Source organism: Homo sapiens, chromosome 14 (assembly GCF_000001405.40).
Source record: "Homo sapiens chromosome 14, GRCh38.p14 Primary Assembly".
In the NCBI taxonomy this organism is placed as follows: Eukaryota; Metazoa; Chordata; class Mammalia; order Primates; family Hominidae; genus Homo; species Homo sapiens.
In genome coordinates, this window is record NC_000014.9 from 99,381,232 (window position 1) to 99,397,355 (window position 16,124).

Sequence of the window (16,124 nt, forward strand, 5' to 3'; positions counted from 1 at the left end):
TCCTCCCACCTGTCTGCCAGATGCCTCTCTCATGATTGGCACTAAGTGTCAGACCCCAGAATCCTGAACCCTCTTCTCCATTCACCCCTGCACCAGGGGCATCCCAAACACACCTTCTGCGCCTCTGTGCACTGCTGCGGTCCTGACACGTGTCGGTCATGGGCTTGGCGGAGGGACAGACCAGACCCAGCCTTGACCCCTTCCAGTGCTGCTGCGTGCACGCGGGATACAGAAACAACCCAGTGTGGGGGCCCACCTGGAGGCTGCACCACTGCAGATGAGACTCTCTGGGTGACTGAGGGTCCCCAGTGCACCTTCCGGAAGCTCCCAAGCCCCTTCCCTGCAAGCCAGCCTAGGCTGGAGGCCTCTGCAGGAAGGCTGACCTGGGTGCCCACCAGAGCCAGGACGAGCGTGCCTGCCTGGGCATCCCAGGAGCCACCAGCCCTAGGACCCTTCGGCTCTCACATCTGTGTCTCCGGCTCCACCTGCAGACACTCCTTTCCATCCACAAAGGACCCTCTGCTCAGCACCCAGAGCTATCAGAGTGGAGCTCTGGACTCCCTCCTTGCGCTCTGAGTGCTCCTGCTCTGGGTGACCAGCTGCACTGCCACCCGCGCAGCGGCTCCCCAGGGACCCAGGCGCCAACCCTGACTCTCCCTCTCCTTAAAGCTAACTCGTCATCCCAGCCCACCTGCCTGCTCCCCCAGCTCCAGCCAAGGGAGCCTTTCTGTGCCTTGACGTCCCCCCACCCCTTGCCATTCACAGCTCAGCTTCCTGGACCAACCATGCAAAGGGCTGTCCCTCTCTGGCCACTGCTCCCTACCAACTTGCTTTCTTTTTGGCACTTACAGTCGTCTGGAATCATCCTAGGCGTTTACCAGTTTGTTGTCAGATTGTCCTTCTGGAATGGAAGCTCCACGTGGACCTGGGACTGCAGCCCCCTCCTCCCTGACACGGGGCCTGCCTCGGTCCAAAAGCTCCAGAACCGGGAAATCAAGGAAGCAGGAGACCCAATTCCAGCCCTGCTTCTTCTGCCTGAGCCTCAGTTTTTTGATCTGCAATCTGCATGCCCTGCATATCTCAGGGCCAGGCTGAAGATCGACCGGACTGCTCTGAGGCCTGGGAGCCGCCCCAGCTGTGAGAGTGTGAAGTGGACTCACGCTGGCACCCACGTGCCGAGCTGCGGATGGAAAGCTGAGAAAGGTGCGGATGGAAAGCTGAGAAAGGTCCCGCTTGCGCGCAGTGTGAATGCGCGGTACGGATCTGTTTCTTTTCTGAATCGCTCCTTCCTCCTGTTCTTTGAGGTTCCTGCACCGGCCCCCGAGCTTTCTGGGCACACCATAAATTTCAGTCCAGCGGACTCACTCTGACTAATAAACATTGTGCCTCTTTTCTGTAATAGAGCGTAAGCTGTCTTTAGAATTACGATGTCTTTTTGCAAGATAAATAGATGGTGGAAAAGTAATACAACATAATAGGATATAGACAAGGAAGGGAGTATTTTCATATAGCTAGATGCAGCGTGTGGGTGGTGAAAAATAGTTTGTTTTTAGTAACAGGAAAGAGAGGTGAGCAGTTTCATCTTCAGTAGACACAGCAAGCACACCGCCCTGGAAGGAATTCTGAAAGCGGAATTCTTCACGCTGGGGAGAGTGTGGTGGAAAGAGAATGGGACTAGAGTCCCGAAGCAAGTGACCAAGTGACCACTCATCCTTATAATGGGCCAACCTTCCAGGTCCGGTCCACGCCTCAGGGCTCTCCTGGGATGCGCTGGAGTCATCGATGCATCACAAGGCCTTCTGAACCTTGCAAAGGCCTGCGCGAATGTGAGGGAATGAGTTGGACCTCTCTGGGCTTCAGTTTTCCTCCTGTGGAAAATGGGGGTAATAAAATCTACATTCTTCCTGGGCATAGGAATTCAGCCTTATCCTTAAAGGGCATGGGGTGGAAGGATCCTTGCAATTTGATGGAGAAGTAAGAAGTGTCCAAGCCATGAGGATTCAGCGAGGCAGTGCAAGGCCCTGGTCACCCTGGGTGGAGAAATGAACACCCTCCGGGCAGAGCGCTGGGTATGACTCAGGGTTTAGAAATAGGAACGTCTCTAAGCTGAGTGGGGCAAGTATCTGACCTACAGGCAGCCGCAGTTTAGTGCTGGAAGCAGACATAAAAACAAACATTCAAGAGCTGCTAAGGCCACGAAGGCAGGGGAAGGGACGACGCATTTGGAGGAAGCACCATCCGAGCCACACCCCGCACAGAAAAAGGACCCAGGCCCACGGCAAGGCGCTTCTTGGTCCTTTCGGAAGGGCCGCTCCTAAACCACCAGGGCTGATCCGCTGCTTGGGTGGAGCACAGGCGGGAAGCCCTGCCCCGTCTCTTTGTGAGCTGTGGGTGCGCTTGGCGAGTCACAAGCCTCTCTGGGCCCAGTTCTTTCTATGGAAGTCATGGGTTGCAGTGTTGTTGAGGGAGCCGGTGGTGCACGTGGTGAAGACCTGGCTCTGTAGCCGGCCAGCTGGGTCCCCGTCACACACTCACACGTGCACACATGCATGCATGCACACATCCTCACACACATTCATACGTGTGCTCTCACGCTCACATGCACACATTCACACACACGTTCACACACCCATGCGCTCACATGCCCATGCACGCACACGTTTGCACATGTACGCGCACACACACTAAACCCGTTGGGCCTCAGCTTACTCATCTGTCAAGCGGAGACCATGGCAGTGGCTCCGACAGGTGCTTGGCACATGGTAAATGCCCAATACATACGACAGCACTTGGAAATTTGTCCCATTATTTCTTCCTCCCATCTCTGCCAGTTGCCAAGGGCGGCCTCGGAAGGAAACTATTAACCAGCACCTATGCAGGGTCAAGGTTATGGAGCTAGTGGGGCCTGCACAGGGAAGGGCTCAGGCAGCAAAAGAGAGGATCACCAGAGTTGGAAAGAAAGGAGGCCAGGCAGACGTAGCGGGAGGGCATTCCAGGACATTCAGGCCCAGAGGGAGGCGGGGATGGGGCGCTGGAGCCCCCGCCTGCCCCTGAGCCTGGTTGGGTGCAGGGGCCAGCACCTGCAAACCCCCACACAGAGAAGGCTCAGCACATGTTCCTCCCCTTCCCCCGGAGATGGAGCACCAGCCTGTGTTGCTATTGGCTGCGTTTTTTAAATTGCCTGCAAAACCCTGTCCTCTTTCCTTTGTGTGGTCTACCAGTCTCTCAGTATTTCATTTGAAAAACAAAGCAACACTTGGACCCTTATGCACAGCTACAGATTTGTCTGCAGTTCTTGCTGTACTTCAAAAAGAGAAATGTTAAAACTCTCTGTGCAGCCTCGCAGTTGATTTCCCAGTGCCCCCAGAATGCAGCCACCAGCCCTGGGCGCTGTTCTGGGAGCTTCCCCACCCGTGCAAAGGGGAGGACTAGGACCTGGACGCACGGTGGGCGGGAGCAGGGTGGGGACTGAAACCCAGGCAGGCTTGGCCAAGACACGGGGTTTGTGTTGTTTTGTTTTTGAACTAATTTCAGGCTTTCAGAAAAGCCGTAGAAATAGTACAGATTCTCCCTATATCCCTCCCCCAGCCCCCGCTCCAGTGCACAGCTTACATAACCCAAGTATAATCAGCAAACCGGGGATGTCACCAATGTGCAATACTGTTAACTCGACTGCACACCTGATTCCGACTGCACCGTTTTCCCACGAACGTCCCTCTTCCCTTCCAGGGTCCTGTCTGGGGTCCCACATTGCTCAGTCCGCATGTCTCCTTTGTGCTCTCCAATCTGTGGCAGCTCCTCAGTCTTAGTCTTGCGTGATCCTGACACTTTGGAAGAGCATTTTTCAGTTATTTTATCAAATGTCCCTCAGTTTGTTTGTCTGATATTCCGTTTTGGATGGAAGTTGTGCATTTTTGGCAAGAATCCCACAGAAGTGACGTTGGGTCCTCCTCAGTGCCCCATATGCGGGTTCATGCTGCCAATGCCTTATCACTGGTGATGTTGACCTTGATTCTGTTGGTTCAAGAGGTGTCTGCCAATTACAATGTTGTAATAAATAACCTGTGTGCATCTATTTTTGTTGGAGTTGTACATTCAGGATAGATTCCTAGAAGTGAGATTGGTGCATTGAAAGGTACATGTTTATGGGGCTGTTTGGTATTGCCAAATTCCCTTCAAAGGGTTATATTAATTTGCATCTCCACCAGCTGCACAAGAAAATATCTGTTCTCTGCAGCCTCGCCAACAGAATGCAAGGTGGTGGTTTGACTTCCGTTAATCTGATAGGTGGGAAATGGTATCTCCGTGTGGCTTTAAATTGCAGTTTTCAGTGAATGAATTTGGACATGTTTTCTTGTTTGATGACTTTTTTATGCGTGTGAATTGTCTGTTCATGCCTTTTTCCCAGGTTTCTTTCAAGTTTTTGGTCCTTTGTCCCTCAGTTGAGTTCTTTATATAGTAGAAATACTAATCCTTTCTCTGTCATAGACATATTTTCTCCCAGTTTATTGGGGAAAATGTCACTTTTCTTATGATGGAGTTTTTTTGTCATGCAATTTTTGCAAATATACTCATTTTTATTGTGTTTGGGTTTTGAGGAATGGTTAGAAAGCTGTTTCCCATGCTTGGATGCAGTTCTTAGTTCACACAGACTCTGTGGGAGCAAAAGAGCAGGCAGGGGACAGAGCGGGTTCTGCTGGAAATGCAAGACAGGGCTAGCTCACTGCAGTGTCTGAAAGGATTATAAAGGGAGTCACTTACACAGGTGGCTCATTTAAATTTGGACAGATTTGCCTAAATTCAGCTAAACACCCTGCTTCATGAAGACGGGGATTTATGTCTTGGTGAGTTCCTGAGGCCATGCTCCTCCCATGTGTACACAGAGGGACGGTCGGAGAAGGGGGAAGGGTCATGTTCCAGTGTGTAGATTCAGCCCTGGTACTTTGTGTTCCTTCACTGCACTCCCATTTTACAGATGGAGAAGCTGAAGTGCAATTAAATAACCCTGCAAAGATCGAAAAGGCAGTGGAGGAAGAGTTGGCATGAGCCCACCTTCCTCCAGGGCTCATACCTCTTGTCACCTCAACCTGGTGGCTTTACAGGGGTGGGGAGAGGGTGCTTATTTCTTCCCCAGGAAACCTGCTCCTGGCCCTCAAGCCATTTAGGATCATGGCATCCCTGCCCCACGCTACGGCCCACATGGTCCTGGGCCCTGCCAGCCCACTGTCATCAGGCTTGCCCCCGTCTCAGACATGCCCTTACTTTTTGTGCTGTTGGAAGGCTGGGCCTCCCGCCTCCCCTGGGGTCCACTGCTGGGACACCTGAGCATCTCTCCAGGACAACTAGTCCCCTAATGCCCCACAAAGATCACGCTGGAATTCAGCGAGCCCCTACCCCCGGCCCCTGAAGGGAGGAGCCGAGCTGCTTCTGTCTGGTATGGGAGACTCTGGAATGAGCCTCCTTTCTCTTTCAGGAGGTTCCTTCTCCACTTCGGCTCAGCCCCAGCACTGCCACGCACTGCCCTGCTTCTTTGTCCACTGGGAAAACTGCCGTCTGCTGGGGCCAAGCTCCCACATCTCCTCCTCTAGGCGCCCCCAAGGGGGGCACTTGCCCCACCGATGTGCCCAGATCAGCCCATCCATTTGGGGGAGTCTGGCCCCTGTAGGTATGGAGCAAATTGTAGATACAATAAAATACCATTTCCCACCTATCAGAAAAGGGAGATGAGCAATGCAGTAACTAATAATGGCATTGATGGACAAGGGGAGACTGGAAGGGCGGTGAATTAGTCTGTTCCCATGCTGCTATAAGGACATAACCGAGACTGGGTAATTATTTATAAAGGAAAGAGGTTTAATTGACTCAGTTCTGTAGGGCTAGGGAGGCCTCAGGAAACTTACAATCATGGTGGAAGGGGAAGCAAACACGTCCTTCTTCACATGGCAGCAGCAAGGAGAAGTGCCAAGCAAAAGGGGGAGAAGCCCCTTATTAAACCATCAGATCTCATGAGAACTCACTATCATGTGAACAGCACGGGGGTAACCATCCCCATGATTAAGTTACCTCCCACCAGGTCCCTCCCACGACACGTGGGGATTATGGGAACTACAATTCAAGATGAGATTTGGGTGGGAACACAGCCACACCATATCAGGCAGGCTGGAGCCAGAGGGAAGAGGAGGGGAAGATGGTATGAGGAGAGACCACCAGGAGGAAGGAGCTAGGAAAGTCGCTTCTTGCAGACTTCGGAGCAGCCCCTGTATGAATGGTGAAGGTTAAAAGGAAGGAAAATGCAAGGTCAAAGTCACCTTTTTGAACAGCTTCCTAGCTAAGGCATGACAGCCTGTTTTAACCCACGAAGGGTTCAAAGCATCAAGGGTGCTCAGGTTTAACATGGTGTGCAGCGTCTGGGGTATTTCAGGAGCCACCAATGCTGCTCTCCGTCTCTTCCTTTTCATGGTATCCCTGTGCAGGTGACATCTGTGGCACACAGCACGAGTTTCCAGGACTGGTTGCTAACACTTGTGTAAACCAAACCCCATTTCTGTCACCTGACTACAAATCTTTGGTAAAGTGATATATCCTTCTTAAAAATAAGTGACCACCCTGTGTTCCCATCCTTCCAAGCATCTGTCCACATGCATAATGTTGATGGAATTGTTAGAGTAAAGTATTATAGTCAAAGTCACCATTCTTAACAGTTTCCCAAAAATTTTAAAGACTTTTTTTTTCTTTTTAGTTCACAGCCTCAAGGCTTCTTGCTGAGCTAAGTGGCTTGAACTTTCTTTTTTTTTTTTTTGTTTTTTTTTGAGACTTAGTTTCACTTTTGTTGTCCACGCTGGAGTGCAGTGGCGCGATCTTGGCTCACCACAACCTCCACCACGGAGGTTCAAGTGATTTTTCTGCCTCAGCCTCCTGAGTAGCTGGGATTACAGGTATGTGCCACCGCACCTGGCTAATTTTGTATGTTTAGTAGAGATGGGATTTCTCCATGTTGGTCAGGCTGGTCTCAAACTCCAGACCTCAGGTCATCCACCCACCTCATCCTCCCAAAGTGTTGGGATTATAGACATGAGCCACTGCGCCCGGCTGGACTTTCTTTTTTCTTCAGCATTTTCTGGGCACCTACTATGTGCAAGGAATAGCCACAACACAGAGCCAGGCTGGACACAGCCCTGGCGATACACAGGGCCTCGAATGACACCTGCAAAAGAAAATCGGTGCAGCAAGGGCACTACACCGTGCAGCGACATGGGGCATCACCGCTGAGTTTAAACACAGAGAACTGGGCTGGACGAGAGGCCAGGGGCAGAGGAGGCAGGTGCTGGCTCCTTGTGCTTGTTGAATACATAGATGCAGCGCAAGCTTGTTTTATATATTGGTTATTTAACGTGGAGCACATCTATACGGAGAAGCCTTTATTTATGCAATAAACAGGAGCAAGAAATCCCAAATGTACCCAATGCAAACAAAGAACAACGAACCAGCTCTTGGCCGGGCATGGTAGCTCACGCCTGTAATCCCAGCACTTTGAGAGGTGGAGGCCGGCAACGTAACAAGACCCCGTCTCTACAAAAAAAAAAAAAAAAAGAAAAGAAAAAAAAGAAAGGCCGGGCGCGGTGGCTCAAGCCTGTAATCCCAGCACTTTGGAAGGCTGAGGTGGGCGGATCACGAGGTCAGGAGTTCAAGACCAGACTGGCCAACATAGTGAAACCCCTACTAAAAATACAAAAATTAGCCGGGAATGGTGGCAGGCGCCTGTAATCCCAGCTACTCAGGAGCCTGAGGCAGAGAATCACTTGAACCCAGGAGGCGGAGGTCGCAGTGAGCCAAAATTGCACCACTGCATTCCAGCCTGGGTGACAGAGCGAGACTCTCTCTCAAAAAAACAAAACAAAACCAAAAAATTAGCTGGGCATGGCGGTGCACGCCTGTAGTCCCAGCTACTCGGGAGGCTAAGGTGGGAGGTTCACTTGAGCCTGGAAGGTTGAGGCTGCAGTGAGCCAAGATCACACCACTGCACTCAGCCTGGTCAACAGAGTGAGACCCTGTCTCAAAAAACAAAAAGCCACCTCTTGTCTCAAGTGTCTGGCCGGGTCCAGGAAGGTACCTGCTCAGTGGAACGGAACCCAAGGCCTCTACTTAGAGCTCCCTGGGCGGCACCCGGCGGGCGGCACCGCCACCAGGGGGCGCGAGCGGAGCAGGGATACGGGAATTCCCAGGGGCGCTCCCCGGGGATAAAGGGAGGGCGTGTGGGTCATTTGGTTTTGACCAGGGTGGACAGGGAGGCTTGGTTTGTACTGCTGGAGTGGCAGAGGAGGGCTGTGTGGACTTTCTCTGCCATTTCCCACACATGACAGGTTCTAAAACCCCCTTCCTCACCCACACAGCTGCCCCGGCCGTCTGGGGGCTGTGCTGGCTGTGGGGTGGAGGAAGGGCGGTCCAGTGCGTCCCGACCTCCCTACCAGCGGGCTTTGGCTGCGCTGACTGTTGTTTGCCCCTCTTTAGATTCATCTGAGGGATGCTGCCTGGTGGGCGACAAACGGTTTTTAACCCAAGTTGTACTTTGTTGCAAGTTTGCAGAAATTACTTATTTTAAAATGTGCAGATTCAATAGTTGAAGCCTGAAGTCTACATAATTGAATGACTAGAATCCTGAGATGATTTAACAAGCGCATATACCCACATTATCCTACTAACTGCACACATTATTTGGGCTTAATTTTTCTATTTCCTCTGCTTGTAATCTACTTTCCTTCCAATCAGATACACAGCAATTCTATTCTTCCAGTATCAGCTGTTTTATAATCACCACCCTGACAGCAGAACTACATCCTTGTACTCATTTAATAACTATTTATCATCCTCTATCTTCCCATTTTCAAAAAGGAATAATTTAAATGCTCCAGAAATTGGAAAAAATTGAAATTTGACCTTTATTAACTGGGTTAATTGTCAAAATCTCTGCTTGTAAAAAAAAAATTAATGACCAAAAAGTGTAACTTTTAGAGTTTCGAAGGTTAGGTTAATGTCCAAGGAAGTATAAACTTTGACCTTTTTGACACATGTCATAAGTAACATCTATCCTAATAAATTGCTACCTGTGAGCAATTATAACATTTTCCCTGTATCCAATCATGCAATTTAATTGCTGCTGGAAATCCTGGCTTCCTTAGAGATAGCCTGGAGGATTATTTGAAGCCTATGGGAGTCATTTTGTTTGTTTTAGGGAGGTTTATTTTTCATTTGGATTTCTAAACATTAAAATGTTCATGAACAAAGATCCTAGCTGCTTTGGCCACAGGCAGCTGGGGCAGTCAACAAAACTTGTCACAGGAATGAAACAGAAACATAAGATTCTACACTCAGATGTGGCCCATCAATGAACACAGATCCTCCAACTGCCTTGTGAACTGCCCATTTAAGATACTGAAGTACGTGTGGCTGGCGTGATTTTTCTCGGTTACTGCTGACAGTCAACTGAACCCCAAATGGGAATAAGAGGTGGTTTTTAAAATGTCATCACTTTAAAAATAGATGTTTGCAAACCAGTACTGGGAAGCGGGACTAGTTCCGTACACCAATATCATAACAGGCTTCAGTTGCAGCAAAGGAAACAGGGACTTCACTGTCACTTATGGGTCACCCCAAAGCTATGATGCCTAGGTCCCCTCTTGTAACTGCATCACTCATTTGGGAGATCTCAGGATGTTAGAAAACTGGAAATGTAGTATCTACAAACATGAAGGTGATCCTAGCTTCCTGAGGCGAGCTTTCAAGTACTTGCATTGTTGGGGGAAAATCAGACACTCAACTTCTCTGTTGTTTGGTAACAGAAATGAACCCCTACGAGGGGAAAAAAATAAGTCAGACTAAGAACATACAGGTAATCCACAATTTTGTATAAAGTGGAGATTAAAAGTCCATCCAGCCTATTTTCCATTAAGATTAGGAAAGTGGAGCATATATTAAGAGCTAGCTTGGACACAGCTCGGCCCAGGAGGCCATCCTGTTCCTCCACAAGCTCCTCGCCGACAAGCACCCTGTGTCATTTGGCCCCAGAGCCTAGTGTGGTGCCCAGCGCATGAGATGCTCAAGTAAGTGCTGGGTGAATCAGTGGACGTCATCACTAACTCAAAGCGTTTTTGGGGAGAAAACACGGACAAGACCATTGGCTAAACATGATGGCTGGGACCCACACTTGTCGCCTGTGGAACAGGGCTTCTGCCCCCCACCAGCTGTGGGGAGAAGCCAGCGGCAGCCCACCACCTGCTTAGATCCTTGAGGGGAGGGCTTGCACCTCAGGGGTCTCAGATCTCCAGTATTCTGTGCCTCAGAGAATACTGAGTTAAGCTGGAGAGGCCGCTGTGTCCCATCCTGCCTTAGGATGCCCTTTTCACCCCTCACCCTCCTCCCGGGCATCTTCAGATCCAGCAGCGCTGAGTAAGCCCCTGAAGAAAGAGACCTCCTCTTTCGTCACCACAAAGTAAAGTTGAAAGGCAAACGTGGCTTGGCTTTTAAGACGCTCAGTACCCAGCCTGGTTAACATACGCCAAGCAGCCAGACCCTTCCCTTCAATGCTCTGCTCCGAGCCGGGAGCTTTTGTGAACGTCGGTGGCGCGTGAGTCACCAGCTCCCATGGCATCTCAACATGTGGCAAAAATGTACAAAACCAGGCTGCTCCACACTCAGTATCCACTCAGGGCTCAAGTCTTGCAAAATAACACTGTAAAGCGCTTTTATGTAAAGCACCACCTTGGTGACAGCCTGCAGTGTGTCGGGGTTTCTGTCGTAGCACCTGCTTTTTAAGAGCAGGGCTGTAAGAAGGGAAGGAGGTTATTAACCACCCTGAGTCTGATCTAGGCTGATACTCATCACGCAAGCGCAAAGCAGGAAATACAATTCCTTTTTCCTTTTTCCCCCGATACAACTTTTCAAAAACACCCATTCTGGTCCTTTGAAAATCCAAGGAGTGTTATGACTACATTTCCTGACTAATTATACTGCAGCCTTAATGGTGTCAACACTTATATTAGATAACATTAGCCCAATGCTAGTTGTTTTGACAATTGTCGATGACCAAAATAAAACAAACATTTTAATTTTTGTATGAGAAAGCAAGAACTGTTTTTCTAGACGCATTTCAGGATTCACCTGACAACATCTTCCGGTGCTAGCGTATTATTTCCTGGTGCCAGCTAGGGTTATTATTTCCAAAACTAGGCTGGTTGGGGTGGCACACAATCGTAACTGCCATCTCTTGCTGCTCAATAAGTTGTCATTTGCAGATGCATTTAGGGGAGGGTTTGTTTAGAGTTGCTTGAAAACTTAAAGCCAAGAAATTCACAGGTGCTTGCTGGATGGTAGCTCATAATGAAATATATATATGTATGTATAAAGTCAGTCACCAAATATTTTCCGTTTGAGATACGTGCCAAGTCTGGGAAAGGCACGGAGAATGTGACAGTTGGGTATGGACAGGAGGTCCACATGTTGAAGCCACGCGGCTGAGGGGAATATTTCACCACCCACAGAAACCCCCGCAACTCAGAATGTGCCTCCAGTCTGCCATTAGTCCAGATCTTGGGCTGACTGACATCGCTCAGCCAGTCACAGTGGGAACCAACCATTGGATAGCTACTGTGTCCCAGGCACTGTGCCAGATTTACATCTATTACCGCAGCAACCTCCTGGGGTTATTCCATTTTGCAGATGAGAAAACCAACACCCTGCGCATCAAGAAACTTGCGCGGGGGTCACAGATGATAGGGGAAGGTAGGGGGTCCGGATTATACTTCAGGTTCTGCAGATTTCAAAGCCCATGTTTGGGATGAGCTGCTTCTCTGGGCTAAAATTTTGTGTATGGGCTAAAGTGCAAACACTCTTCATGGACTAGACACTGAGGGGAGAATCTGCTCATTGGTTCCTTCTTGAAGAGTAAGTTTTGCATGAATGACGGGTGGAGTGTGAGGGTGGGAAGCTCTGCACACCCTGCAGAAAGAGGCACAGCCGGCAGGGGGAGCTCACCCTCACGCATCCTCCAGGTGCCTTCCTAGGACTTTAAACTGACTCTGGGATCCTACAAGGAGCTCCTCCGGAACCTCATTAAAATGGAGAAGAATGGTTGAGGTTCAAGCCACAACTTGATCCTTTTCTACCAGAACACTCTTGAGGAGTCAGGTACAAGCGGCAGAAACAGGAAGCAAAGAGAGGAGAGCGAGGAAATGGAGAGAGAAGAAAGGAGTGTGATTTTAACGCCACCCTGGGACTTCGGAGGCACGCGGGCCTCCCACTTGGTTATGGTTGTTCGGTCAGTCTGGAAGCCTCCCCAGAGCCCGCACTCTGCACCAGGTGCTGTACAAGACTCTAGGAATTCAAACAGCCAGGTGGGGACACACAGGGCCTCACCAGCACCAGCATTTCCACGTTCATTTTCCTGTCAAGTTTGGCCTAACCCATGTTGAGGAGCTTCTCTGTTGCCTAAGGGGGAAGAATATGAGTTTGGGGAAAGTTTTCTATACACACACATATATATGTATTCATATGTGTGTATGTATGTGCTCATATATACCAAGTAGGTTTATACAGAAATAGGTGACACACATGTGCGTGCACACACAGATACGCCTGCATTTGGGCCAAGAAAAGCTGCCCAGAAGTGAGAGGGTATCACGAGGCTGTTAAATAAAGACCAAGAGCTGATGGACAGTGGTGTCATGACCTGAGTTAAGGTTCCCACCTCCATAAACTGCTACTGAGTCCACACACAGGGGCTTCCCAGTCCTTTCACCTTGTTTCTAAGGCATCTACTAAGGGTGGCATCTGTGAAGGGAGCAGCAATCACCGGGAGGCGCCCTCCTGAAGTCCATCCATTACGAGAGTGGCACAACTGCACGCGTGCTCTCCCTGCAGGCACCGGGGCACCAGCACTGCAGTCAGGAACCAGTGACCAGCATCTTCGCTGGATTCCCCCCAAGAAGCCTGAACTTCTCAGCCCCTCCTGTTCATGGCTGGTTCTTCCCTGCCTCCCTCCTTACCCTCAAGGGCTCACCCCACCTCCATATCTCACAAACAGAGCCCTAAGCCCAGCCACGTGGGTCCACCCGTTCACAGCCTGGTATGCTCTGCCACGCCTACCGTTCAGACGTCTGCCTCAGTGCCTCAAGGGCAGGGCTTCTTGAGTCTGAATTACCCACAGAATCTGTGTTCCACTAAGAACACAACTGTTGCTAGGTCCAGGGCCGAGGTTCCCAAATCAATGGACAGATGACACACGCCGCTTGCTGGCAAAGCATGGATGATTTTGCTATCCCCAGTCTCAAGAACATCTCCTGCTTCCTGGTAGTGGCTCCGGCTTAGAAGATGGTCATCACAAGCATTCACTGGCTGTTTAACAGGTACAGGCGCGGCACGCAGCTTTTCAACGCACCCGGCACTGCTGAGGTAGAGAGTGTGAGGCTCCCTGAAGGGGGTGACAGAAGCTCCTAACAACTGGCCCAGGATCCCATGCCTGGAACCAGGTCTGAGTGGTCCATACACCCCGATGGCTGCGCCTGCTCACCTCCAGAGCAGCAGGCATGTGCTCTCTCACAGCAGGCGTTAGGGAGTGCTCCCTCCCTTGGCTGAATTCCGCCACCCAACCCCTGGCCCTAGCTGTGCCTTTTGCAGACCCAGAATGAGTCTCACCCCTCCTTCAGGCAACAGCTCTTCAAATCTGTGAAGACAGGAAGATCATGTCCCTGCTAAGACTTCCTCTCTCCAGCCCAAGCACACCCAGGACCAGCAGGGCAGCTTCATTTAAATAACAAATTTGCCAGTGCATTTAAATACAATTCAAGTTATTCAAATTCAATTTATACACAGAATTTTAGGAATATATTAGATAAGGGGCTGCTGATTAAAATAGTAGGGTGACCCTTAATGACATTACTGGATCCTATCCTACACCCACCTCAAATTGACATTTAAATAAAAATGAGTCAAATTCCTGGGTCAGGTTAGCAGCTCTCCCGCATTACACGCATTTGTTTTGCCAGATCAATAATAACACGAGCACGGTGCAGAAGCAGCTGCTCACTTCAGCTAGGGTTACCGTCAACACTGTCATATCCGGGCTCTCCGCAAAGTACCCTCCAAACCAACCACCACTATCATTCCCTATTTTCTTCACAGTCAGTGCCATTTCGGTTCTGAGCTCAAGTCACATGCACTTTCATTGGACTGGCTTTATTCTTTTGCTCCTACAATGTACGTATTAATCACCAAGGAAATATAACTGGTGGCCGGGTGCAGTGGCTCACACCTATATTCCCAGCACTTTGGGAGGCAGAGGCAGGTGGGTCACCTGAGGTCAGGAGATCGGGACCAGTCTGGCCAACATGGTGAGACTAAAAAATAAAAAAAATTGGCCAGGTGTGGTGGTGGGCACCTTTAATCCCAGCTACTCAGGAGGCTGAGGCAGGAGAATTGCTTGAACCCAGGAGATAGAGGTTGCAGTGAGCTGACACAGTGCCACTGCACTGGGAGACACTGCCTGGGAGACACTGCCTGGGAGACAGAGGGAGATTCTGTCTTAAAGAAAAAGAAAAAAGAAAATATAACTGATGATTTACAGAAAATTGATTCCCTCATTTTTAAGTGGAGGTTTAATTTAGCATAACTCTGTATATTGGGAACCTGGGACTATTTTTAATGTCTTACCCCATCTCTCAAAAAAAAAAAAATTACAGACATCTCTTAGTGAGCCTCTTCTAGAAACTACTGGGGAAAAACCACCTATCAATTGCCAGTTTACATGAAAAACAGGGAGGTTTTTCTAGGCCGGTGAAATCTAATTGCTAACTATTTACACAAATAACACACAGAGCTAATGAAACAGAAGCAGAGCCTGGCATGTTTCCAGTAACTAGCCTGAACAGCCTCTTATCCAAAAGCATTCAGAAGAAAGTAAACTTTAAAATGATTTGAGAGAAAGGTCTATTTTCATGACAGACGGCAATGAGGGTTCTTCAATGCCAATTTAATCACTTTCCCTCAATTTTCAAATGCTTAAGTTGTAGCTCCAAGTGTCTGTGCAGGCAGCACTAGAGCTGCCGAACCGCAGCGGGGCAACGAGGATGACTAATGTGTGCTGTGGTCTCGCCTGCCTTTGCGAGTCATTTTAGGGCAATCCTACCCAACTCAGGAAAGTAATGCTGTTCAATAGATACTGTCTTCTGACATCAAAACAGTTCCGTTCTTGTGGGCGCCATTTTTATGTCATGCAGAGGCTGTTCTCAACTGGAAGCATACTTCATCTCTTTTTGATCCAATAACCTTAATGACCAAGTCTGTCAATGGAGAAATGACAGAAAAAACAGCTGCTAAATTTTTAAGCAGGGACTTTGGACAATTTAGTACCATTCTTTTCACAAGTAAATGAAGAAACTGGGTCCCAGGAACCGACATCACAACACCCATTAAAGGTGGCGCCGGAACAGGAGCTTGGGATCCCGACCCCAGTCTGGCGCTATCCCAGCTCCACGGGAACTCGAACTTTGCCGGGGAATAGTTTGAAAACCCAGCTGTCTCATGATGTTATTTTATGTTTGAACTGTATATATGTTTTCAAAAAAGATTTTTTATTATTAGGCTTGGAAACTTTTAATCCTATAAGAAGATAATTCTATGGACAAATTGGTCATCAAAGTTCTAGAAGGCTCTGGGGCTTCTAGAGTCGGAAACTCAAGCACTACAATGCTATTGCCTTTTAGAAATTAACACTAAGCTTTACAGACTATTTAATATTTTTGGTAAGGTATCTCAGGTGTAAAGCTGATACGAGAGGTGGCAATCACATGCTTCCTCCTGGTATACATCAACAAGCTAGGAAAGGTACAGGCGTCAACGCCAGGAAATGTCCCAGCCTCACGCAGACATGAAGCTTGCCTCCAGCGCCCAGTGCAGCAGGTAAACTAACCTGCTGAGCAACGCAAGCAACGCCTTAAAGAGTTAAATTTATCTCAACTGTCAGGGGGGATTAGGCAATTGATCTGCAGAGCTATGTCTTCCCCAAGAGAAACTCCCAGAGCATCCTTAAGACGACCTGTGTTGCAGCAGCATTTATCAAACACTTGGGGGAATAA

General features: G+C 49.2%; 2 annotated features.

The window, feature by feature from the left end:
• Positions 1,837 to 2,695: an enhancer, noted in NCBI's record as "H3K4me1 hESC enhancer chr14:99849405-99850263 (GRCh37/hg19 assembly coordinates)". NCBI's record gives its function as "activates a minimal SCP1, AML or CMV promoter by ChIP-STARR-seq in naive H9 embryonic stem cells {active_cell/tissue: H9 hESC(naive)}" and the evidence as "EXISTENCE:reporter gene assay evidence [ECO:0000049][PMID:30033119]".
• Positions 13,227 to 14,007: an enhancer, noted in NCBI's record as "H3K27ac-H3K4me1 hESC enhancer chr14:99860795-99861575 (GRCh37/hg19 assembly coordinates)". NCBI's record gives its function as "activates a minimal SCP1, AML or CMV promoter by ChIP-STARR-seq in naive H9 embryonic stem cells {active_cell/tissue: H9 hESC(naive)}" and the evidence as "EXISTENCE:reporter gene assay evidence [ECO:0000049][PMID:30033119]".